The 26,114-nt window shown below is 37.8% G+C and overlaps 1 protein-coding gene across 5 annotated transcripts in view, besides 5 other annotated features; it reads left to right on the top strand.

Moving 5' to 3' along the window:
• CDH8 (cadherin 8) overlaps nt 1-26,114 on the top strand; it is a 389,189-nt gene that overhangs the window by 146,693 nt on the left and 216,382 nt on the right. The window lies entirely within an intron of this gene.
• Nucleotides 1,015-2,214: an enhancer, noted in NCBI's record as "MED14-independent group 3 enhancer chr16:61921436-61922635 (GRCh37/hg19 assembly coordinates)". NCBI's record gives its function as "activates an origin of replication core promoter dependent on BRD2, BRD4, P300/CBP and CDK7 cofactors, and independent of MED14, by STARR-seq in HCT116 cells {active_cell/tissue: HCT116}" and the evidence as "EXISTENCE:reporter gene assay evidence [ECO:0000049][PMID:35650434]".
• Nucleotides 16,540-17,217: an enhancer, noted in NCBI's record as "OCT4-NANOG hESC enhancer chr16:61906433-61907110 (GRCh37/hg19 assembly coordinates)". NCBI's record gives its function as "activates a minimal SCP1, AML or CMV promoter by ChIP-STARR-seq in naive and primed H9 embryonic stem cells {active_cell/tissue: H9 hESC(naive and primed)}" and the evidence as "EXISTENCE:reporter gene assay evidence [ECO:0000049][PMID:30033119]".
• Nucleotides 16,540-17,896: a biological region, named in NCBI's record as "OCT4-NANOG hESC enhancers GRCh37_chr16:61905754-61906432 and GRCh37_chr16:61906433-61907110".
• Nucleotides 17,007-17,301: a silencer, noted in NCBI's record as "tiled region #8156; HepG2 Repressive non-DNase unmatched - State 24:Quies, and K562 Repressive non-DNase unmatched - State 24:Quies". NCBI's record gives its function as "represses a minimal TATA promoter and a strong SV40 promoter by Sharpr-MPRA in HepG2 and K562 cells {active_cell/tissue: HepG2 | K562}" and the evidence as "EXISTENCE:reporter gene assay evidence [ECO:0000049][PMID:27701403]".
• Nucleotides 17,218-17,896: an enhancer, noted in NCBI's record as "OCT4-NANOG hESC enhancer chr16:61905754-61906432 (GRCh37/hg19 assembly coordinates)". NCBI's record gives its function as "activates a minimal SCP1, AML or CMV promoter by ChIP-STARR-seq in naive and primed H9 embryonic stem cells {active_cell/tissue: H9 hESC(naive and primed)}" and the evidence as "EXISTENCE:reporter gene assay evidence [ECO:0000049][PMID:30033119]".

Raw genomic sequence — 26,114 nt, 5'->3', positions numbered from 1 at the left:
ACATGTGTGTCTAGAGTTCTGTAAATTAGAATGAACACCCATAGTATAAATTGTTATTACATAACCATTCCAGGAAAGCATATATTAAAAGGGGCTGGGGAGTAAACCTCACAGAGTTCAGCCTTTGTCCGCATTTGCTGGTCAGAGAAATGAATTAACTGCATGTCAGGGCAGCTCCGAAACACATATTTGTGAAATTCTGAAGACTTGCCTGAAAATGAATGTGGGACACCTTTGTCAATATATTTCTGGTGTATGCCTCGCTTCCTCAGAACTTTGCCTCTCATGGGTAGTGGGGATTTCCTCGAGTCTCCTTGTATCCATGTGTTATTATTTCTTTAACTTTGACATTCATGTGTCATGGGCTTAATAATTATACTTTCTGGATTCACTGGACTTTGAAGTTTGCCATTTGATTTTTAGACCCAAATGCACTTATTCTTTGGCTAATTAGCAATCATAGATTTATGAATTTAATGGAATTTTTTCTATTCTCCCCACCAGTAATTTCACATGTATATATATATTTGTATATATGCATTTGATATGTTATTAGACCTCATGACAAAAGACAACAGATATTTACAACATGAGGCTGCAGGTGAAAATATATAGCTATGTATCACCTGGGATCACATGGAACACATAATCTCATATACATCCCCATCCTAAGGGAATCAGTTTTCATCCCTTGTGTCTGTGCTCAAAGAGTTTATAGTAATTCTAATCATATTTGTGCTACTGTTGCAGCTGATTTCATTCATTTTCCTTTTGTCAGGGAGCATGACTCAAGGAGTCTTCTCTTTATAACCATGTCAGACTTTACAGATCTCATCATTGTCTATCAATTATGAATCTTGGCAAGTAACAAGAGTGGTTTGAGTTCAGGAAATACATTGGGGATGGAGCAGTAGTGGGAGGACGTTCACAAAGTAAAGTTAACACTTTTTGAAGCAAGTCTTGAAATGTCTGTACATTATTCCTTCTGAAATCCAAAGTGATGTTATCAGCTTAAGGTTAACATAATGACTAATTAATTTAATATTACATAGGGATTAATATTTAATAAATGTGCAAAATGCTATCCTAAGCATTCTACAGACACATTCAATCTACCAACAACCTTAGGAGGTGAATTTTATTATTCTTATTTTACAAATGAGAAAAGTAAGTCATATGATCATAAAGTAGTTTACTCATGATCTTATCACAGATGAGAATAGGGGCTCCCCATCAGAAAGTCAGAACCAGTAACAGTCTTACATACATAACAAAAGAGTTATTATAGGGATTAGACCTTATACGTCATGAAGCAGAGAGAGAAATCTGTGCAAAGCTGTTGCTTCTGCTTCTGGGGATGGGAAAAAAGCTGGACATGAGGTGGGAAAGACCAGGAATACACTGGAATCCCAGAGGACCAACTAGAACCCATGGGGACAAAGTGGAGCCTATCTATATCTGTCTCTCATACTTCAAATTCCCATGCCTTGAGTAGTCTGCAGGAGAACTGGTGCCCTTTGTCACAGAGAGTCACATTTATCTGGCCTAGGACTCCGCGAACCTGAAGGTGCAAATCCTAAGAAGCCGGAGGAGCTGTGAGCCTGGATGTTGCTGCATGCCAACATGGTGAGCTTGCAGATCTGCTGAATCATGCAAGAGCCCAGTGCCTGATGTCTTGCTCTCACTTCCTGTCTGCCTTCTTCACTTCTGCTTCCAACGTCTCATGCCAGAAGTAACTAGGGCAATATAGAGAAGGGAGTTCTAGAAACAGAATTTCAGTTTAGCTTAATTGATAGAGAATGAAGCCACAGCAGATACAGTTTACTTAGTTTCTGCTCTAGGCTAGGTACATGTAAAACACTGTGTAGATTTTTAGAAGGGGGCATTATATATGTCAAGCATGATTGTTGTACATTATATATTATATAAAGATTATAATATCAGTCAAGTATTAACACATTTTTTACAGTAAAAAATGTAAATACAGTGGGTTTGTGATGGGATCAGAATTGTGTTCCCCACAAATTCATATGTTGAATCCATAACTCTTAGTATCTCAGACTGTGATTGCATTTGGAGATGGGACTTTTAAGGAGGTAATGAAGGTTAAATGGGGTCACATGGTGGGTCCTAATGCTGTCTGAATGGTGTCCTTACATGAAGAGGAAATCCGGACACACAAAGAGACATCAGGGGCACAAGTGCGCAGATGAACAAGCACATGAGAAGGCAGCAAGAGGGAAGCCATCTGCAAGCCAGAGAGAGAAGGCTCAGAAGAAGTTAAGTCTGCCAGCATCTTGACCTTGGACTTCCAGCTTTCAGAACTGTGAGAAAATAAATTTCTGCTGTTTAAGCCACCCGGTCTGTGGGAATTTTGTTATGGCAGCTGTATTAGTGTGTTTTCACACTGCTATAAAGAATAACACCTGAGACTGGGTGTTATCTTTCCTTTCTTCTGCTCAAAATTGGTCCTCCTACTCCTATCCTTTAAAATGTGTTCATGGACAATCTGTTTACTAAATTATCATTACCAATGTTACCTACTTATTCCTAATTCCTTTCTTCTGCTCAAAATTGGTCCTCCTACTCCTATCCTTTAAAATTTGTTCATGGACAATCTGTTTACTAAATTATCATTACCAATGTTACCTACTTATTCCTATTGTTTGAAAGTTTGTGTGAAAAAGGGAATGAACACAGGAATGAATATTGTGTAGTCATCAACCCTCTAACCTGTTTCAAGTCTGCAGTGAATGTCCAACATCCGCTGAGTGGCTACCTAACTCATGCTGTGTGTATTCTCTAGTTACTATGCATCACTCTATTGTCAGTGTGAAATACCAGCAGTTAGCTTATATAGGTTGCTTCTGTTCTGGGACACAGGCAGACATTCCACCAAATCTAGTTGAATTAGTCTCAACCGCAGGTATTTGCCAGGAAAACTAGGAGGATGTGGAAACAGTACCTTTCCAAGTAGCTCAACATAAACATATGTGAACTTGGGAACCATTAGGCAAGCATGATCCTTTATTAAAGTAAAAGGGTAAAGCCAGGACCCGCAGAGGTGGGTGGAAATGGAGCAGGCAACCAAGACAAGAAAAAGTGAGAGACTGTGAAACTTCTTGTTGGTTTGCTTAGTCTCTGGTTCTACAAACATACTGATCTTTAGGCACTTCCCATCTCTGGCTTCGATGATACTTCCATCTATCTATAGAAGACAACTCAATAAAATGGAGAGATGTATTATGTTTCTTAAAAACAAACATTTCCTGAGAAATATAAAGTAGTCTGCTGGATGCCTTGGGTGGCAGTGATGACAGTGACCAGGGGGATTCAAAAGAACTTTGGTCTGTAAGAGGATATAAAAGCATCTTTCTTCCTGGCTATGTAAACAGTGTGTAAAGATAACAAATATTTATATCCACACAGATTATATGCAGTTTTTTTTTATTATTATATGGGCCTTAAAAATAGACTATCACTCTTGTGTCTGCCTTGTGAAAGATCTTGGCTCCTTAGGGTAAGGCATGGTGTGAATATCAGAACTAGGTAGTAGATATCTTCAAACTATAATATGAACAAACTCGAAAGTTTTTTCTTCGTCTGCCATCGACTGCTGCACAGATAAAAGCAATGAGCTGAAACGTTAAATCCTTGGGAAAGTTAGAACCAGGGTAGAGGGTGGGATATCCCCTTCTACTGGGCTTATGAAAGGATCATGCGTCTCCTTGAACTGGGAGATAGAACCAGAGAAGGAATATTCTCAGTTCAGTAAGAAAAAAGACTCTGTGCTGACTGCAATGTCACTCTTCCATCCATTTATATTCACAGATCCTATTAATGGATGTAAGATAACCTACAGTCTTCCATGCTTTGTTCTTTTTGAAATTACTGTTAAAGAAAACTAGATGATCGAGACTGAAAACAAAGGGCAAAATCCTTTCCCGAGCATGTCTTTATTGTCCTTTTTCTCACCTTGACAGAATAATCGGAATAATGACAATCACCCTAAGATTCCTTTTTTTTTTTTTTTTGGATTGCTATTCCTGTGTAATTATTAGAGCTGCTGTTACCATTAGGTGATAATGAAATAATATCAAACAATTCCCACACGTTTATGTATATGTAACACGTTACAATGTCAAACTTAAATGAAAGGAGAAATACCAGTATCCGTCTTAAGAGCTGCTCTGACAGCAACTCACAGTTCTGATAAACACTATTTAAGTGCCTTGTGAAAGCCTTTTTTGGGGAGGCTGTCAGCGAAGCAAGTGAGACCATGTGATGTGAATCTAGCACTAAGAACATTAGTAACCTAGATTTCTCATGAACATAGATAGTAATTCTTGTGTTCAGGCTTTTCTACATTTTCTTTTTGTTCCGCGTACATATTTTTAAATTCTGCATTCAAGTTTAATAGCCATACAGTAAAATGCATATATCTATAACAGCATAAGCTGAACAGGTTTGTATACCCAGCACCCAAATAAAAATTCACAATAGCACCATCCCCACAAAACTCATTCTGTGTCCCCTTCCAGTCACATGATTAACTGATATCCTGACTTCTAACAGCATAGATATGTTTTGTCTGCTTTGTAGTCATTAATTGGCTCATACACAATGCATGATTTATTTATTTCAACACCCCAGACAGGCTTGAAATTAAGTCTACCAAAATTACAGGACATTTAAATGAATCAATGAATATATTCATTCTTATATTCGTTTATCTTGTTGATCCTCTCTACCATCCCTCCTTTTTTTTCCTTCTGGTTCTGGAAGGTGACTTTAAAAATATATGTGTTATTTTGGGTGGCCTTTCCTTACATACAGTTGGCCCTTGAACAATGCAGGGGTTAGGGTTATAACCCCTTGCAGAGTTGAATTCCATGTATAGTTTTTGACTTCCTAAAAACTTAACTACCAATAGCCTACTGTTGACCAGAAGTCTTATCAATAACATAAGCAGTTAATTGACACATGGTTTTTTATGTTGTGTGTATTCTGTACTACATTCTTACAATAAAGTAAGCTAAATAGAAGGCAATGTTGTCAAGAAAATCATAAGGGTCCAAGTGCAGTGGCTCACGCCTGTAATCCCAGCACTTTGGGATGCTGAGGCGGGCGGATCACCTGAGGTCAGGAGTTCAAGACCAGCCTGGCCAACATGGTGAAACCCTGTCTCTACTAAAAATACAAAAATTAGCCGGGTGTGGTGGCACAGAGCTGTCGTCCCAGCTACTTGGGAGGCTGAGGCAGGAGAATCACTTGAACCCAGGAGGCAGAGGTTGCAATGAGCCGAGATCACGCCACTGCTCTTCAGCCTGGGCAATAGAGCGAGACTCCCTCTCCAAAAAAAAAAAAAAAATCATAAGAAAGGTAAAATATACTTACTATTCATCACGTGGAAGTTGACCATTATAAAGTGCTTCATCCTCATTATCTTCATGTTGAGTAGGCTGAGAAGGAGGAGGAAGAGAAGGAGTTGGTCTTGCTGTCTCAGGGATGGCAGAGGCTGAACAGAATCCACACGTAAGTGGACCCTGCATATAAATCAAATCTGTGTTGCTCAAAGGTCAGTTGTACCTAGCTCAAGGCAGCTAAGTGGGAACTTTCAAGTTAAGGCTGTTTTTCAAGCGTATGACCAACATTATCTCTTAGTTAAACCAACAGAAAACCCACACCAGTGGGATATTTCAGAGGTGTCTAACCCATTTTAATCACACTTTCCTTTTTTTTCTAACAGAAATTCACTTTTTAAAACTACATTTATTTAAAAAAAAACCTTCTACTGTTTACTGTTCTGCTTCTTATCTTGTTTCATGTTTTTTCAACTCTCATTTCTATATTTTCTCTAATTGTTCTCATCAAATACATTTAATAAAATTTATTGAATACCTGCAATAACAGATAGTGAAGTCTCATAGATAAAAGCTGTCTTTGCAGATAGAAAGACTTTGTGCTTAAGAGTTCACTCTCTCGAGGTCTTGTTGTAAATCCCTGCTACTTTCCTTGGTCAGAGCATTGAATCCACCTCTTAGTTCTTTGAGATTCACCTCTAGTATTTTGGTCTGCTATCAAGTATGCCATTAACCTACATGGGATATGTCATATAAAAGAAAAACTGCTATACTTGTTTTTATTCATATGAATTTTGATTTAAAAAAGAAACTTTATCTCACTATTAGTATCACTTGCCATAAGTAGAAACAAAGGCCAGATTAAAAAATGAAATAAAATGTAAAATATATGTTAATATATAAGTATCATTAACTTTTTTATAGACAATGTTGCCTGCTTAAGTCGTATCCCCAAGCCTGCTTGTTGTTTGCTATATAAAGGGGTATTAGCATGTATCAGAAAGGTGTTAAACACATACAGTACTATAATAAAATTGATATATTATCTTCAGTCTAATCAGAAAAGTTAAAAGGGGAGTGAAATGGATAAAAATCTCACTACAAATTTAAAGCTGATTAATATTGATTGCTTGCATACCTAGAGTGCCCTGCTGGTATGTTTCTCTTGTTTTGGTGGGCAACATGCTATACAAAATGCATGTTTACGTTTTGGTATATACCAGTCAAGGATACATACTCTAAATATTCTTTCTTAACCATACCTGCCTCCAAGGAGCACAAAGCCTGGCAGGGAGGATAACTTGCAACCTTGAGGCTTACCCAGAATGTGAAGGACCATCATAACAGAAATGATGATGATCTGAATTCCCCAGGGATGTCTGGAGGTATCACCTAGGACAGTGCTTGCTTAAGATTTACATGGCAGAATATCAATTAAAGTTTCTTGTTTTCTTATGACTCAGAGCACCTGCAACTACTTCTTTTTTCCAGCTTATTTTATTTTAAGTTCAGGGGTACATGTGCAAGATGTGCAGGTTTGTTACATAGGTAAATGTGTGGCATGGGGGTTGGTTGTACAGATTATTTCATCACCCAGGTATTAAGCCTAGTATCCATGACTTCTTATTCCCAAGCCTCTCCTTCTTCCCACCCTTCACCCTCCAATAGGCCCCAGTGTGTGTTGGTCCCATCTATGTGTTCATGTGCTCTCATTATCTAGCTCCCACTTATAAGTGAGAATATGCGGTATTTGGTTTACTGTTCTTACATTTGTTTGCCAAGGATAATGGCCTCCAGTTCCATCCATGTTTCTACAAAGGACAAGATCTCATTCTTTTTTGTGGCACCTGCAGACATTTCTCAAAATTTTTGGAACTGTTGAGAAGTAGGCACAAAGTGTCTCCTGCTCGAAAGTCAAGCCATGTGAGTAGAACAGAGATGTGTCAACACAACTGCGGGGGCTCTTCTTCATAGCTAAAAGAGGGATATCTGCAAAATGGAAAACATTTCAACATCATCTCTTTATTCCTAGATCTAAGCAATTCAGTACTCATAAACAATTGGCAAGATATTCAAACGAGCAAGCAGGCAAATGCATGGAAACGTGTATGATTATTTTAAATATTGGATGGGAGCTTTTACATTATATCCATCGAGTAAAACACATTTGATCAGAAGCTATTTCAAGATATCATGATTAAAGTAGTTATTGCTGTGCTTTTGGCAATGGTTAGAAAGGCAGTTTTCTTCTACAGCCTCAGAGACAAGAGCTATATTGGGGTTTGAAGAGACATTCTGCCATATTAGACACGGCATTTGCTTTGAATAGAAAATATATTCTTGATTAATTCTAAGATTTTGCCTGAATTATTAGATAACTCGATAGTGCTTTAAGTTCTACAGAGCTTCTATTACTAAAGAAGCCAATTTAAAGGGGGAAATGCTTAGATACCTGGGATCCAAGATTAGGCTTAGGACAGCTTAGAGAATATAGAAATGTGCTCCCCAGTGTCTGATTTGATGCTTCCTTGAAGCGTTCAAAGTTAAAAGCTCCGGCTTTGAAGCCAGAAGGGGTTACAATTGTGGATCTTTGCCTAACTACTAGGTAACCACGAGAAGGAATTTACCTCTCTGAAACTGAGTTTCTTTTTCTTTAAAATGAGATTTTAAAAGAAAAATTATGTGAAAGGATAAAATGCTGTGCTTGGCATGTGATATTTCAATAAATGTCAGTTTTGCCTGGCTCTGAGGCATTCACTATGTGTCATAGTTTATCCTGATTTACCTTAGTCAGTATGCTGCTTCTGAATTCCCTGAGCATTAATAAACATCAGTGCGCATCTTCTTTTCTGATATGTTTGCTTAGGATGAATTTTCAGAATTAAGCTAGTTAGTCTGTTTAAAACAAAGGATTGATTATTCTATTACCTTTACTGTAGGCAATATCTTTATCCTTTATTTCCACAACCCCTACCCTCTCTTTCATTATTATTTTTTAATTCACTCTCCAAAATTAACATCTCATTTCTGACTTTTCCTCTGAGTTCCAGGCCGACACCTCAAACAGCTTATGTGACATGGACATATGAGATTGAGGTAACTGTACAGCAATCAGCACATTTAAAACTGAATATATCAGTTGTTTATTGCTGTGTAGCAATGTCACCACAAACTTTATGGATGTTAACAACACACACTTATTATCTCATAGTTATGTAGGTTAGGAATCCATTCAGAAGGTCTGTAGATCTTCTGCTTCAGCCTCTCATGGGCTGCAATCAAGGTTTCATCCAGGGACGAGGTCTCATCTGGGACTCGACTGGGCAAGAATCCAGTTTTAAGGTCTCCTGGCTGTTGGCAGCATTCAGATCTTGGTAGATGGTTGGACTGAGGGTCTCGGTTCCTTTGTTTACTGTGTTGAGTGGCCGATCTACACACGTTGCTTCATGGCCTTTCCATCTGGCAGCTCAGAATAAGAAAACTTCCTTCTTCACAGTCAGCAAGAGAGAGAGTCTCTGGTGTGATGGACACAATCTCATGTAACGTGATCATGTCCACACAATTACATTAAACCTGGCCTCTTGCTGAATGTTATTGATTCAAAGCATGTCACAGGTCTGGTCTTTCTTGATCCACTCACCTCTGGTTCCACAGTAGCAAGAATGGCATTTTCAAAACATGGTTTTGAACATGGCATCTCCATCAACACCTTCCTGTTGCTCTTAGAAATAAATGTGTGTGGATCTGAGTCATTTTATAATAAATACAAGCCATCTTCTACTTCTCAACTGTGAAGTCATTTCTCACCATCCTAGGGCTAAAAACTATTTTATTTCACTTGGACCTCTGTCCACTCTCCATACTGGTCTTTTTGATCATGACAAGTTCCAGCTTAATGAGCTTCAGTGTTTCTCCATTGCTTTCTGGATATAGTTCAAAATTCACAACATGGCCAATAATGCTCAGCATGAATAAATCATGCCAACATCTTCACATCTTATCACTGCCTCATAGATTTGCTTTCTGTCTTTCGAGTGTGAAGGCTTCAGAACCTCCACATATGCAACTGACGTTGCCTAGACAACTCTAACTTTTATTTACCCTTCCAGCTTCAGATTATCATTGCTTACTCCAGGTCGGTTAAAACTTCATATTATATGGCCGGGCACGGTGGCTTACACCTATAATACCAGCACTTTGGGATGCCAAGGCAGGCAGATCACAAGGTCAGGAGTTCAAGACCAGCCTGGCCAATATGGTGAAACCCTGTCTCTACTAAAAATACAAAAATTAGCAGGGCGTGGTGGTGGGCGCCTGTAGTCCCAGCTACTCAGGAGGCTGAGGCAGGATAATCGCTTGAACCCAGAAGGCAGAGGTTGCAGTGAGCCGAGATGGCACCACTGCACTCCAGCCTGGGTGACAGAGCAAGACTCTGTCTCAAAAAAAAACAAACCAAACCAGAACAAAAAAAACCCAAAAAACCTCATATTCTTCTGGATTTTCCTTCATACAATTAATTGATTGATTAATTACTGTATTGCTATTTCTACTCTCCCATAAGGTCTCTGTAGGTGAAACTTGTGCTTATATTGTTCCTTGTTGTTTTTCGGGGCCTATCACAGGACTGGCTGGATGCATGGCAGACATCTCAGCAAATATGTAGTAGATGAAAGGAGGGTAGAACTAAGAAAATGAGAAACGTTCTCTCTGAAGATTTCAATTGCAGTTAGGAAAAAGGCAAAAGAACTTCCTGCCGAAAGGTCAGGTGGGCTGAAAGAGGTTCAGCCAAGACCAGGGCACAGAGCAGTTTGTGAGGATGATGACAGGGAACAGGTGCAAATCATAGCATTCATGGAACCCAGTGTTGAAGCCAATTTCAGGGTCTTACATGACTATTTTGGTGTTGGAATGTCAACCGGATCTGCATTGCCTTCCAGAGTGGCAAGGCTGCTGATTCCTGAAATGTGACAAATAGGGAATTTATTTTACATGATATGTGTCTTCAGTCTTTCTACATGAACCAAATTGATTCAGAAATGAAGAAAGTGCTAGCTGTTTAATTGAGAAAGTGTTCATGGCCTTTCTCATTTGTTTTTCTTTAGCTATCCAAATTTCTCCTTGCTATTTAAGAGGAAGTCACTTTAAACAAGAACATTCTTTTACTTGATGATTCAATATAAGTAAATTTTTTTTAAATTGTTGTCATCAGAGGTAAGAGCATAATGGAAAGCATGAGAATAATAACTTAGCAGTCAGCCTACCTTCGAGGAAACTAATTTGTGTGGGATTTAGACAATGAAATATAAGATTCACATCTTTTATTTTTTCCTGGCATTATAAATTTAGGCAGGACATGGGGGCAAATAAGTGAATCTTACTCAGATAGAAGGGATCAAATCTTCAAGTAATAGCTTAAAATAGCCTGTTGTAAAATAGAATTTATTGCTTAACATGGTGCGTTAAATGGAAACTCACGTGGGGCAGCAGACAGCATGTGGTCTGGAGAGTGAATTGTGGATCATGGAGGCCACTCATTAAACATGCAAATTCGACTGTGTAAATTTCCTTCTCTGCACATCCTACTGATTATTTGTAAAATGATTTTTAACTGTTATTTAGAGAACTAATGTGCCTGCAGCAAATGACACCTAGCAGATATTCAATAAATGTTAGTCCATAAATAATAATATCATATGTAAAATACCCAGGCTAGTGTCTTGCATAAAGTAGGTGTTCAGTAAATCTATATTATTATTATCAACATCATTATCATCATCATTACTCCTACTACGGACCAACACTACACTGGGCAGTTTCATCTGATTTGATTTCTACAAAAAGTCTATGAGGAAGTTTTTGTTTTGTTTTGCTTTTACTAACTGTCTTGAGAGTCTTATAGCAAATATGCAGTCAGGCTGAGCTTTGACTCTATCCATTCTTACCATAACCCTTCTCATAGAACAAAATCATGGTGCTATAGCTCCAGGTGGAGCACACCATTGCATACTAAATACATGAATTATTTTTTCAAGATAACAACCACTTTTAAGGTAGGTATGACTTCATTCATTTCTCATTCACTCACATCAGACTAAAGCCTGTGAAGCTATGTTAAAATACCTTAAGGCAGGCAAAGAAATCCAAAGTACTTCTTCTATTTGGTCATAACTTACACAAGGTACCTCTTGGCCATCTTATTAAGGATGCCTTTAGCAGGGATAGAAAATGGAATTTATTACTCAATTTTCTATCCTTCTCTAACACTTAACAGCCAGACACAAAATAAGTATTCAAAGAGATGTTCAAACTCTTCTAATATTTGTCTAGATGGTCAGTTCTGTGAAGACAGGACCATTACTCATACATCTTTGGTATGGTATTTGCAGGAGTGATTTGCACACAGCAACCGCTAATACATGTTTTCCCTTATGTGCAATTTTTCAGCTATCACAAAGGTAAACTTGTGAGAGCTTCATTCAATTTCTTTTTCTTTTTAGTTTTTAATTTACTGTTTATGATTGTGGGCTACTGAAGGTTCCAAAAATATTTCTCTTGAATCCTTGAAGGAAGCAAAATTCTCTAATATTTTTCCCCCGTGCATTCATTTTCTCTTTTTCTCTTTCACATAGACACACACATATTCTCTCTCTTCATTCTCTCTTATTTCTATATGTTGCAATATATGAGTGTTTGTGTGTGAATTTGTGTGACATATACTGTCTAAGTTGGAAAGAAAATGTTGCTTTCTTTCCAAATTAAAGAGATAAATGTGTAGAGTCTGGAAGTACCACAAAAATAGCTGCCTTGACTCACAATGTCTCTACTCTGAAATATAAATTTTGTTCTGAAGGGAATTCTCTTTTCTGTCTCAAGTAGGCTTCTCTCCATATATACACACATAATGAAATATGTGGAAATTCTAAAGTCTTCATAGGAACATGAGAGATCATTAATCTTGTATTATCTTGGCAAAAATGGAGATGAGAAATTATTTACATTGTGGGCTGTGGTTCAAGGTAATTCAACTTCCAAAGGATTGAATTCCAGCAAATGCCTAGAAACCTTCTTTTTTTTTTTAAATAATTCCATATTACCCCATTTATTTTCTTATGAATTTGTCAGTTCCAAGTATAATATACAGCATTTAATAGTCTCGTTCTAAGATGATGAAACAATTTCTTTATGGTGATGTTTAAAGTAATTGTGTTTGATTTCAATGGGTTTTATGAATGTAGTGGTCTCTGTAAAAAGAAAAACAAACATCATGCTGGTAACACAGATTGAGGTTAAAGGAAATGACACCTAATGTGTTGGTACATTTAGTTCACAATTATCTTTCAGGTTTCTTAAAGTTTGCATGAGATTTTCATATGTTATATAGTAGTATTGTATATCTTTGTTCCCAATTGGTTCTCCATGATGGTACAGTGAAGTGGGTAAAGCAAGTAAGTAAATTAGACTCAGATTTAGTGACTTGCTTTAAGTCTGCCATTTCTACCTCTTATTGACTATAAGACCCACATATGCTGATCCGTATACCAAATGTGCTTTCCATTAAATCTAGGATAATGCTTAGATTCGAAATAAGGGAGAAAGGACAGACACAAATGGAAAGTTGACAGTAATTTGTTCTTGGTGGTTGTTCAATAAATATTCATTTAATGAGGAGAGCATCATTACTGTAAGAATGCATGTATAAGAGGATTCTTTTGTATAGTCAGTATCTCATAGTGCTTGTTTCTTCTTTTGCCTCCTGAACAAGACTGGGAAGAGAAATGAGCCAAACCCGTGCAAGCAGAGGCCTTCTTCCTGATAATGGATTAAAGCATGCTTAGACCTAGTTTCCAAGGATATTTGAAAACTGTCATGCAAGCAAATGTCCAGGGGTCTTGGCATTAGTCATTCAAAGCTCTGAAGTATGAGTGCCTTTTATAATGAATGGGAAGGAGGAAGTTGACTTCAAGAACCAGAAATCTTTTAATCTAATATGGAGGACTAGGAAACAGCAACTCTCAGCTGTTAAGGGATTTGTAAAATTGTCCGTCTGGAAATTTACGCTTATTTGATTCTTGTTCAGTATTTAACAGAGTACATATTTATAATGACTATGCTTATGATACATTAATTTTGGATAAAAAAGTACAATTAGCATGAAGACTATATTGCATTCTACATTTCTTAATTTACCATCCTAAAGAAAGAAAACCTGGCCGGGCACAGTGGCTCACACCTGTAATTCCAGTACTTTGGGAGGCTGAGGCGGGTGGATCACGAGGTCAGGAGATTGAGACCATCCTGGCCAACATGGTGAAACCCTGTCTCTACTAAAAATACAAAAATTAGCCAGGTGTGGTGGCGGGTGCCTGTAGTCTCCACTGCTCAGGAGGCTGAGGCAGGAGAATTGCTTGAACATGGGAGGCAGAGGTTGCAGTGAGCCGAGATGGCACCACTGCACTCCAGCCTGGGTGACAGAGCGAGACTCCATCTTGGGGGTGGAGGGGCAGGGAGAAGAAAAGAAAACCTAACTATTTTGGTCACAATAGCTTCCTATTTGGTGGCAAGATACCATAATGATGGAAAGCCTTGGATGAAAACGGGAGATTTATGAGTTATACGCTTACTGATAATTTCACAATGTAACACATATTAAAAGTTTAAAATGCATACGTGGATGTACACCTGACATAGTACTTTCTGTGAACCTTGAAGCATATATAGGAGAGGAAAACTTTTCAGTCAACTTTTCTATAAAATTAGAAACTTTGTAATTATCTTACCTCACTCAGAAGGTTGTAAAGTTATAAAAAGAAGTGAAAGCGTTATATAACACATTATATTCGTGGCTTCTTTTTAGGTTATAGATGATACCTCTGTTGATTCAATATAATAGTCCCGTTCCTGCTCATGTAATGCACTGGTTCTTCAACTTGAGTGTATGTCTGAATTACACGGAGGATCAGTTAAAGTGTAGCTTCTGGGTCTTGCCCTCAGAGTTTGTAATTCAGGTGATGTTCATATTGCTGGTCTGGAGACCATACTTGGAAAACCACTTGCTTAGTGGGTCATTGTAATGCTCTATTTCTCTACATGGAGTCCACGGTAGTATTCCAGAGGATTCTAAAAACAGTAAGAGCCATGATACAACCTTCTGAGGTGTTACCAGAACATTTGCCAAGCTATTTTATGTGAAAAAAAAAAGTAATGTTGACATATTAAGGAATTAAATGCAGAAGCTGCATGATATATTCTGGGAAAAATGCAAGACCTCACAGTTGTTCCAAATCTATAATTGTCTGCTTCTCCCTGTGAAATGTGTCATCTAAAGGACTTCCTAACTTGCTAGAGCTTTTCAAATGTTTCCACCAAAGATTTTTAAAATTAGAAGCTCTGTCATGGTAAGTTTCATGCCTATTTGCCTAATCTTGAATCCCCAGATTCTAGCACTCTGTCTTGCAAAAACAGAGCCTCAACAGTCTATGGGGTCTTAGGAAAGATTCCTTTTGTTGAACCTCTCTGTATCTATTAGGTTGGTGCAAAAGTGATTGTAGTTTTTGCCATTGAAAGTAATGGCAATGACCGCAATTACTTTTGCACCAAACTAATAGTTGCCTCACAGGTAAAAAAGCAACAATAATGGAACCACTTTTTTGGATTGAGTGAGATAATATTCTCAATTGGGGCTGTTGTATTGATACATTCAGAGATAATATTTGAAAGTATTTACTGAATACAGATGCTTGTACCTTAGGATTACATCTCAATAAACTTATAGTAAGTTGAAAATATCACTTTGGGAGGCTGAGGCAGGCAGATCACGAGGTCAGGAGATTGAGACCATCCTGACTAACATGGTGAAACCCTGTCTCTACTGAAAATACAAAAAATTAGCTGGGCGTGGTGGTGGGCACCTGTAGTCCCAGCTACTCGGGAGGCTGAGGCAGGAGAATGGCCTGAACCTGGGAGGCGGAGCTTGCAGTGAGCTGAGATCACACCACTGCACTCCAACCTGGGTGATAGAGCGAGACTCCATCTCAAAAAACAAAAAAACGAAAAAAAGAAAATATCATAAGTAGAAAATGCATTTAATATACCTAACCTACTGTACCTAACATCATAGCTCAGCCTAGCCTACCTTCAATATGCTCAAGACTCTTTTTTAAAAATGTTTGAAATTCTATTTTTATTTAAAAAAATTTTTTGTGGGTACATAGTAGGTATATATATTTTGGGGGTACATGAGATGAGAACTCTCATATTAGCCAGCAGTTGGGCAAAAATCATCTGGCACCACAGGACATCATAGAGTTTTGTCTGTCTGTTTGTTTTGAGATGGAGTCCCACTCTGTTGCCCCAGGCTGGAGAGCAATGGTGTGATCTTGGCTCACTACGACCTCCGCCTCCCAGGTTCAAGCAATACTTCTGCCTCAGCCTCCTGAGTAGCTGGGATTACAGGTGTGCACCACCACCCCTGGCTAATTTTTGTATTTTAAGTAGAGACAGGGTTTCACCATGTTGATCAGGCTGGTCTCGAACTCCTGACCACAGGTGATCCACCTGCCTTGGCTTCGCAAAGTGCTGGGATTACAGGCGTGAGCCACCTCACCTGGAGTAAGCCACCGCACCTGGTTGTTTAGCTTCACAATGGCATGACTGGCTGGGAGCTGCTGTTCATTCCCTCAGCCCAGCATTGAAAAACAGAGTTATATCACATATCACTAGCTCAGGAAAAAATCAAAATTCAAAAACAAAATAGTTTCTACTGACTGCAGATCGCTTTCCCACCATCATAAAGGTCAAAAATTCATAAGTTGACCCGTCATAAGTCAGGGACTGTCTGTATAGTAAACGTATTTGAGAGCTTACTCTGTTCCACATAACTATTTAATTACTAGTTAATTAGTAATGTTAATTATTACAAGTTGATGTGTATTATTCCATGTTCAGTTCTTCATGTGGGGGGCCTGGGAATCCTTATGTTGAACCAGCTTATGGTGTGCTGCTTCATAAGTAGCCTGTGTCGTCCACAATTTAGAAAACACTGCTATGGAAGTTTTTATTCCTTTCAGAGACAAAGCCAGTGTGGGGGATATGCCACCAAATAAAAGTGGTTGAAAAAACTTCAACCTAATTTAGGCTTATTTATGTCTACAGGACACAGGCGTTTATCAAAATAATTAATCTTTTTATTATTCGTATAATATTAGCAACTATATTCTTCATTCATTTCTACGAATACGAACACACATTCACACAAGACATACCCTAACTAGAGGGAATTAGAAAAGAATCATAGAAACATTACAAAACATAGGTTTAAATACTTACAAAAATAAAGTTTAAGCTGTTATCTTTCACAATTTCCCAGGCTCTTCTGAATGTTTTTCAGTGCTTGACCCCCATCTGTCCTAAATTGTAACTGACTGCTCTTTAGAATGCAGGTGCTAATTAACTTCTTAACACTTCTTTGTATCATCCTAAAAGCCCAGCCTTCTTGCTTCTGTGCCTTCTGAAGTGTCTCTTTGAGTTGTGTTGTTAAAGAGGTGTATATCCCATAGCAAGTTCATATTACTTTTGTACCAAAAATAAAAACCAAAAATAAAATTCTAAGTCCCCCGAACCATCTGAGTACCTGCCCTCCTCTTGGCCAAGGGCATTCCAAAGTTAACCTGAAAACACTAGTTTAGGCTGTGATGGGAATGGGGAGCTGGACAGGACTCTTTATGCCCTCCTCCCTTTTGGAATTACTGTTAGAACAGACTCTTTGAGTCTTATGAGAAGCATTCACAATGTATTCTCTCTGAAGCCTGCTACCTGGAAGCTTCATCTGCATGATAAAACTTTGGTCCCTACAACCACTTAAAGTAATCCAGGCATTCCTTTGTATTGATAATAACTCCTTCAACCAATTGTCAATCAGAAAAATTTTAAATCTACCTATGACCTAGAAGCCGTCATTTTGAGTTGTCCCACCTTTCTGGATTGAACCAGTGTAAATTTTACATGTATTGATTTATGTCTCATGTCTCCGTAAAATGCATAGAAACAATCTGTATCCCAACCACCTTGGGCACATGTTATCAGGACCTCCTGAGGCTGTGTCATGGTTGGGACCTTAACCTTGGCAAAATAAACTTTCTAAATTGATTGTGACCTGTCTCGGATACTTTTGATTTACAGTAATTAAAAACTTGAGATAACATAATGCTTTTAGAAGGATGTAAACATCTTTGCCTCTGTCCTAACTCACAATTAGCTCTTTTCCTTGGGTTAATATGTGAAGTAAATTCCTGTCCTGAACCTCTGAGATTCCAAGTTGGTTTCCATTGAGTCAGGCCCAGAGATTTGCATTATAAGCACAGCTCCTTGGAGGATTCTAGTCCTGGTAGAGAAACCATTCATGCAGAGCAGAGTTCTTCTCACACCGGATGGATATACTGCTCTGTTTTCTGACATACTGTGCTTTGTTTGATGGTTTCAAAATATGTACGGTGAGTGTCTCCACATTCTGATTTTCAGGTAGCTACTGATTTCTGGGTTTTTTTTTTTTTTTTTTTTTTTTTTTTTTTTGCATATAGAACAATAGAGCATAGCAATTAAGTACATGTAATTTACTGTTAGTCAGAACTAGCTTCTGGCCACAGACCCCACATCTGTTGATTATTGGGACCCAGGCCAGTGGCCTCAACATTTTAGCTTTTTGTTGTTGTTGTTTTTAACAATTAAGGTTTTCTCACATTTCCCATTGGTTGTTTTCATTTTGTGTGTCCTATTTTATGTTCATCTTTAAAAAATATTATTATTATAAAGATCATCAATGATGTTCTAAATGCTTCTTAAATAAATATTTATTTGTTACATCAGAATCTACCATGAAAACATTTGCCCATATTTTGAATTTTCTCTTTAAGATCCTTAGGTAGGCTGGGCACAGTGGCTCACATCTGTAATCCTAGCACTTTGGAAGGCCAAGGTGAGAGGATTGCTTGAGTCTAGGAGTTCAAGACCAGATCCTGTCTCTATTAAAAAAAAAAAAAAATCTGCCATGGTGGGATTACACACCTGTAATCCTAGCTACTTGGGAGGCTGAGGTGGGAGGATTGCTTGAGCCTGGGAGGTCGAGGCTGCAGTGAGTTGTTATGGTACCACGGCACTCAGTTTGGATAACAGAGTGAGATCCTGTCTCAAAAAAAGGAAAAATATACTTATTGTATAAGTGTGTGTGTATGTGTGTGTATGTGTGTGTGTGTGTGTGTTTTCCTGGCTGGACTAATTATTGGGGTGCTTGCTTTTATAATTATGCCATAAATGTCTATACAAAAACACATCAGTAATTGAATAGATGAATGAATTAAAAACATTTATCGAGTACCTATTTATGCCTATCCTCTTTTGGAAATCTGAAAGTGATTTGAATATAATTTAGTCTCATTTAAGTCTAAATAAGATAATTATATCAAGTAAATAAGTACTTGTACCAGAAACATAGAAGCTCCTTTATATTTGATGGTAATTATTAGTATTCTAGTTACAGACTAATATTTGACAGTAAAACAGGCAATTGACAATGGATTAGAAAGGGAGATTCAAATTATGTGGCACACTCTTGAAATTTAGTGAGTTTCAATGTAGAAAACCCCAACCATGTTGGGCACATGTTGTCAGGACCTCTGGAGGCTGTGTCATGGGTATGCTCTTAACCTTGGCAAAATGAACTTTCTAAAGTGATTGAGATCTGTTTCAGATATTTTTGGTTTACAGTAATTAAAATCTTGAAATAACATACTACTTTTGGGGAAATCTATACCTCTGAAGGAGAGTCATTTGTGAGGTTCTTTGTTTACTGATTATCCTGATTTCTAATTATTTTCTTGGGAGTTCTGGAAAGCTCCTCAAGGTAACTTCTCTTCCTATATGAAATACTGTTTTGAAAACATTTCCCTGGAGAATCTAAATACAAGAACAGCTCAGATTCCACTGTTTTTAGACATTTCCCAATGCTCCTCACTTCACACATTTACACTGAAACATGTACAAAATACTTACTGCCGCATTTTTCTTTCCGCCTGGCGAACAGCTGTAAAGATATTAATTGTGCTTCGGTTATAAATGGATTGCCAAAAGGGACAGAACGGGTTGTGTATCTCATCAGCATGCCCTGTCTGGTATAAACAATGAGACAAGAACTTGGTAAATTGGAAATTTGTGATAAAAACAAGATGTGATATTATGAAGTCCCACCAGTTCTTTCTTCTAGATACATCGATTTTTAAGGCACTCTGTGAGACTGCTAAATCAATGATTGTCACAAAATGTTGGCTAAAAGGGCTATATTACTGGAGTCAACTACAAATTAGCCCAAAGGGTAAACATAAAGGTAGTACAAATGTTAAAAAGAAAAATGTCGCAGCTGTTGTAAAATATAGTTGGAAAGGCACAGCTGTTAGAAAATGTATATGGTCTTTTTCTCCTTTTCCATCTAAGAGTCTTGAATATGGCAACTAGGAAGAATTGAAAAGAGAAGAAACAGAACTGAATTGAGTGCAGGACTTCATTACTTGAGTTATTTTTTAAATAATGTCAGAATTTTCTTTGATGTTTCCTCAAATTATTCTTGTGCGTCTTTCAAATCTGCTAATTTTTGCTTTTACCTTTCATAAGCACCTAGTGAAGTTGCTATTTCCTAGTATGGCATAATGATTAAAATTTAAAGAAATTTTAAAAATTATTGATATTGCTAAATATGTTGCATACATAGATTTGTGCACTTTGAGTTGCATTTCAAATGAAACCCAATTTTGTAAGAAGTCTTCAATGTAATGAAATTTGAGGATTGGGGAACAAAACAGAACTCATACATGTACACATGGACACATACATTGTTCATGTACTATAACAGTCAATATTGTAAAATCACAGACTACCTTTGAAGTTGGGCTATTCATCATGTCACTTTATCAGGAAGATTTCCTTTACATACCTCCAACCTGCCCTCCACCTTTCCCTAGTAGCAGGTCTCAGGGTCAATCTTCTCTGCACACCCACCACTCCTGCAACACGCCTAGGTTACAGTCTAGGCAATAATGTTTCTTTCTGTGCCTCTCCCTGGTAGGCTGTGAGCTAGCTCCCTAAGGGCCAAGAAGGACCGGTATTCATCATTGGTACTCCAAGACCAGGAACAGTTTGGTGGCATTCAGCAATTGAGAAACATATATAGTGTGAGAAGAAGGGACTAAGGAAGTGAGAATACAGAGAAAGAAGGATACCAATAAAGAGAAATGAAGGAATATGTTGAATAAATACAGCATCTATTCAATTTTCTTGCTATCATTTCATTAGATTACTTAAGAATATGGTCTGCGTCAGATTCATCAGCACATCTTCAGGGCTGAAAACATAATCAGTTCTTTTCTTTCTCTTATCTCACTCTCTCTCCCTCCTCTTTTCATCCTCCCAATTTGAAAGCCTCCAGATATTGGCACAACCTTAATCATTCTTTGTAAACCCATTGCTTAGCCTTTCACATATTATTTTGTGTTTGCCAAGATTTTAATTATGTCACGTAGAGTTTTCAATACATTTTTTAAACAACTCTCTCTAAGCATGCATGTACCAAGGTCTCACTACAGATTGAGTCCCCTAATCTGAAAATTCAGAATTTGAAGTGCTTCAAAATCTGACAGTTTTTGAGTGCTGACATGACCCCAAAAAGTGGCAAGTTCCATACTTGATCTCGTGTGATAATGTGATAATGTCCTCAGTTCATTATTTCCTCTATAGGAAGTTTTCAGGAGCTTAAGTGAGAGTTTAATATCATACTAGCCTCCGTTTGAAGCTAATTCTGGCTTATGTTGGGACTGGGTTCAACTCTAAGAAGACAAGGTCATGACTACCCTTTTAAGAGTAGAGAAAACCCTTACCGTTATTCTTTAATAAATTCAAAATGAAAAGAAGACAAAACAGTAGACATAACACATAATTCAGAACATGATCAATGTGCTACATTAATCTCTGAATATCTTCCAAAAGAAAATAAGCTATTAATTCTCTCTTATTTATATATTTACCCAATGAATATTTCTATGCAAAGCATTTTCTGAAGTGCTAGGGAGAAAAATAAAAATACTAGTTCATATTCTCTGCATTTGAAGATGTAAAATTCAGAAACATTATAGTGTTTGTGTAGCAGTTAAAAGGGCAGATTTGGGAGCATTCTCGTGTCCTTATAAATTCAGGCTTTATTCCTTCTGTTTGAATTCAGATATTCATAGCAGACTCAGAGGCTTGTTGCAAAGATTAAATGAATAAATATTTCATATCAGGTATAGTTCTCAGCACTTGTATAACAAGGACAATGTAGATTCATGCTTATAATTTGAACAAAGTGACGGAGCCATGTTATCAAGGAATGGGTTAATTCTGGAGGGGAGGATGAGAGGGGAAAGTTGAGAGAATAAGAAAGAATATTGTTCCTAAGAAGCTTTTAGTCTAAAAGGGGAAAATCTGTATGCACTGCAATTTATATATAAAAGTAAAAGGTGCCCCTAGAGACAATCAAGTAAAGTATTTTGAGAGTTCAGAAGAGGGAATGATTCAACTTAGGAATCAACTAAATCTGGAATCTGGGTCAGATTGAGCTATGTGGATAGTTGTGGAATCACAGAAATGGAGTGAGTAGTGGGTAAATAAAGTAGTTGGGAATATTACAAAGCTCTGGGTAATTGGTGGAAAGGGTTGTTTAAAACCCTTTACTAACTTTCCATTCTCCTAAAATAAGCTCCAAACTGATTAGTCAAATTCATGGGTACCCTTCTAGATTTGCAGCCCCACCTGTGAACATTGACCTGAGATTATCTTTTTCTGCCTGATTTCAATATCAAAGTCCCCTCATACCAAAAACTTTGCTTTAACTGTTTATCTGCCCCTCCTGCATTCTTCAGTATTTCTGTGTCACCCACTGCATTTGATCACATCATTTAGTAGCTAATTGTTCCATTTTGGCTCTCCTACTGGTCTACCCTTGTAGAAAGCAAGAATCTTCTAACCGCAGTTTCTGAAGCTTGACACAGCAGGATTTCAATTAAAAAAAATTAAAACAATGAAGGGCTCAAATAGGAGATTAGCCTAATTTACTTCCATTTTAGCTATGTCATTGATGGCGGCATGTATAGGATATTATATTTCGTGTCAGTTAGTAAATATTTTTTAAAAACTCTGTGAACTCATAGTTCTTGTAATGATTGTGAAATTAAACCTTTTTCATCTAAGACTCTCATTCCTCAGTAGCTCAGTGGCTCAGTGGCTTTTCACTTTGTCACATTTGAAATTTGATAGGATTTTGTCTCTCACATTGGAAAAGGGAGGGTAACCCCAGCTACACTATTATTATGTTTTAAAGTCCTGGCTTTTAACTAGAAAAGTAAGCTCATTCTAGAGGGACAAAAAAAACGAACAGCCACTGTAATGCTTATATCTCTGTTCTCATGCATCTTGGCCTTAAATTTATACTTTGTTAAATAAAAATAAAGTAGCTTGCTCTGGAGAGCACAGAGTGTGTCTCAACCAAAATTCTCTCACCTGGAGAATACTGATTGTATGTTATTTTTATGGAGCCTCAGAATAAGAATAGGAAGTAGGTGGTACTATTCTATTTTTTAAATAAAGCAATGGAGTCTTATTGATGTAAAAACATTCTCTTCCTGTGTAAGGGTGTTAAGTCATGATGTAGAATATGATCTCAGTATAATCAAATAAAGTCAACAGAAACATCTGATATTATAATTATATAATGTGTATATATATATACACACACACACTATATAATTCTATGTATGCTACAATTTTATATGTATATGTAGTATGTATATAGTGTATACACTATATATCTGTACTTTCAATTACATCATGCTGCCTTCGAGAAAATACATTTAATGAAGATTTGCAGTTTCTTACAATAAAGAGAAACCAGGTGAAAACACTGCTAAAGTAAACTTCAAATGCTATTAGGAGAGAAAGTCTAGCTCTCTTGCATATTCTTATACCCTTTGCATCTAAGTTGGTGCTTGGCATATAGTATATACTGTGCAAATAGCCATTGTGTGATTGAATAGATTAGTTCATTTACTCAAATAGAATGAATTACATTTCTTTTTTTTTTTTATTGAGACAGGGTCTCACTCTGTCACCAAGGCTGGAGTGCAGTAGCATGATCACAGCTCACTCTGGCCTCAACTTCCCGGGCTCAAGTGATCCTCCAACCTCAGCCTCCCAAGTAGCTGGTAGCTGGGACTACAGGTGCACACCACCATGCCCAGCTAATTTTTATATTTTTGTAGAGACAGAGTTTGGCCATGTTGCCCAGGCTAGTCTTGAATTCCTAGGCTTAAATAATCCACCTGCCTCACCCTCCAAAAGTGCTGGGATTAGAGGATGAATGACATTTCTACCTGCTGTAGTTGTCACATACCGTAGAAGGCATCTGGGCATCTGTGGTGCCACCAGTAGCATAATTTCTCAAAGTCAGTATGGATATCGATAGCTGCCAGTCTAAAGCATTTATGGTGCTATTTAGTTCTCAAGCATTTACAGGATTTCATTCCATAGGTAACAAATTAGCAAAGGTTTGATTCCTGGGAATAAGCAGCCCATGAAAAGAAAATACTTTTCTTTTTCTGTTGTATTAGAAATAGAACCGCCCCAATTCCAAAAAGGTGTATTTATGCACATGGAACTATAAAACAGGCAGCTTATTAGTTTTCACAACCAGGCCTCCAATTGCCCTCATTATCTGTTTGCAAAAGCAGTGGGTAGGCTACCATGCTAGCATTGTTTGTGAAGGATACAGAAGGTAGTTCCCCTCTGTGCATATAAACGTGTCTAAGATTCTACAGTTACACATTTTCATATGATATTTTCCATTTCTCTCACCCAATGCACATTACAGATGTTTGCTGGAATGATGCATGGGTGAATAGAAGACATCCGTGTGCTCAAACACATTTTCTAAAGTGTTTAATTGTTTCAGAAAGTTTCAGGCTCATTCTAAAAACACAATGTTAAGTGTGCATGGATGTTTCATTAAGTTACAAAATTGTTTGGTTCCCTAAATTCTCCAGAATAAAATATGTAAACTGAATTTTATTTCCCCGGTTTATGTCCCAAATCATGGAGCCAGAGAAATGACAGGATACATTTCGGTGCTGTCCATCCGCCTGACTGCAGTTAAGAATCTGTCTCCATTCCCATAATAAACTTAATTTGGAGCATGTGGAATTTGGCAGCAACATTTCACTACAGGCTGAGAGTTGGCACATAAGGAGAACACCCAGTGAGCAGCGAGTAGGCCTTTGCAAAAAAAGAAAGATAGGGAACTAATCATTGAGGATTCCATTGTGTGGTATGTGTCATAAAAGAGAGGTTTCTGAAGCAAAATGGCAAGCACATGCTGCCTCTGCCTCTTATTCAACTGGCTTTTCTAAATGGCAAGACTGATTACCCACAAAAGAGAAGGGTTTGATCTTCTGTTATCAGCTTGACATTACTCTTGCAGTTAACCAACTGTAATTCAGAGCAGAAGTTCCTGGAAAGAATTGGAATCCCTGTCTTCTTGCTTGTAGTTGAATGGTCAGATGGTAATAATTCAGTATTTATTTCCCCTAGAGCTTGGCTGGGGATGAAATCTCCATATCCAGGGTTAAAAAAGAAGCCCTAACTTTGGCTGATCCATGTTTAATCCTCCTCCCCCTGCAAAGACACGCCTAAGTTGCCCCTTGGAGGTTTGGATATTTGGTAGCTAATAGCAAAACTGAAAAATACTGGTAGAATTTAGGGCATGCTTCCTGCTGGGGGAATTTGCTTGAGGCCCTTCAAGAGAAATGAATGTTGAAGACTATGGTATCAGTCAGAGAGATGCAAAGAAAAATGAATGCATGGGCTGCATACACTTATTTCTCAGCTTTTTCCTTCAGCACATCAGGTCGGTGCTCTGTGGTAACTTGGTTGGGGAAGCAGTGTGATGGGGAGGGGGTGGAGACTTTCAATCAACCAACCAACCAACCAACCAACCAACCAACCAACCAACCAACCAACCAACCGGACATCCAGCCAACCAACCAACCAACCAACACACATAAAACCTCTAGAAATATGTGACAGTCAGTACAGAAGTATCCCAGAGCATTTTTCCATAAAACTAATAAATAATGAATTCTGTCTGACACATTTAAAACATCCAGGACCAGAAGCTTCTACTTCTAGTGAGGAATAATTTAAACATCAACAAGTAATGCAGGCCTTATGAAATTATTGCTCTGCTATACAACAACCCAAAAAAGGTTGTCATGGCAACCCCTGTGCTCCCAACACCTATTTGTATTGCACAGTACTTAGGGGAATTAATAAGGATGAGAGGAGTTGGGTTGAGGGCTCAGTTTTATTAAAATAAATGAACGCAGTTGCATCATTGCTATGACCTTTTAGGCCAGTGATCTTTGGGATGCATGAATGTTTAAGTAAGACATTTTCAGATGATAATGCCAAACACTTTGTCTGTGGATTGTACATACTGCACTTGGAACAGGATAACTAGCAGGTCAAATAAAAAGTTTGAAGAGCATAGTAGAAGACCAAGAATGTGCATTGTTCTGAATTTTAGTTATTGCAAAGGTTCTGCCCCTTTATTTTCCCACCTGGTATTGGAATGCTGATTCTCTAAAAATGTATTGCAAATGACTCTTTGCAAATGGAATTTGTCTT

The sequence above is a fragment of the Homo sapiens genome, chromosome 16 (genome assembly GCF_000001405.40).
Source record: "Homo sapiens chromosome 16, GRCh38.p14 Primary Assembly".
NCBI lineage: Eukaryota > Metazoa > Chordata > Mammalia > Primates > Hominidae > Homo > Homo sapiens.
The sequence above is the reverse complement of the archived record's forward strand: the minus strand, read 5'-3'. Positions and strand labels throughout refer to the sequence as shown.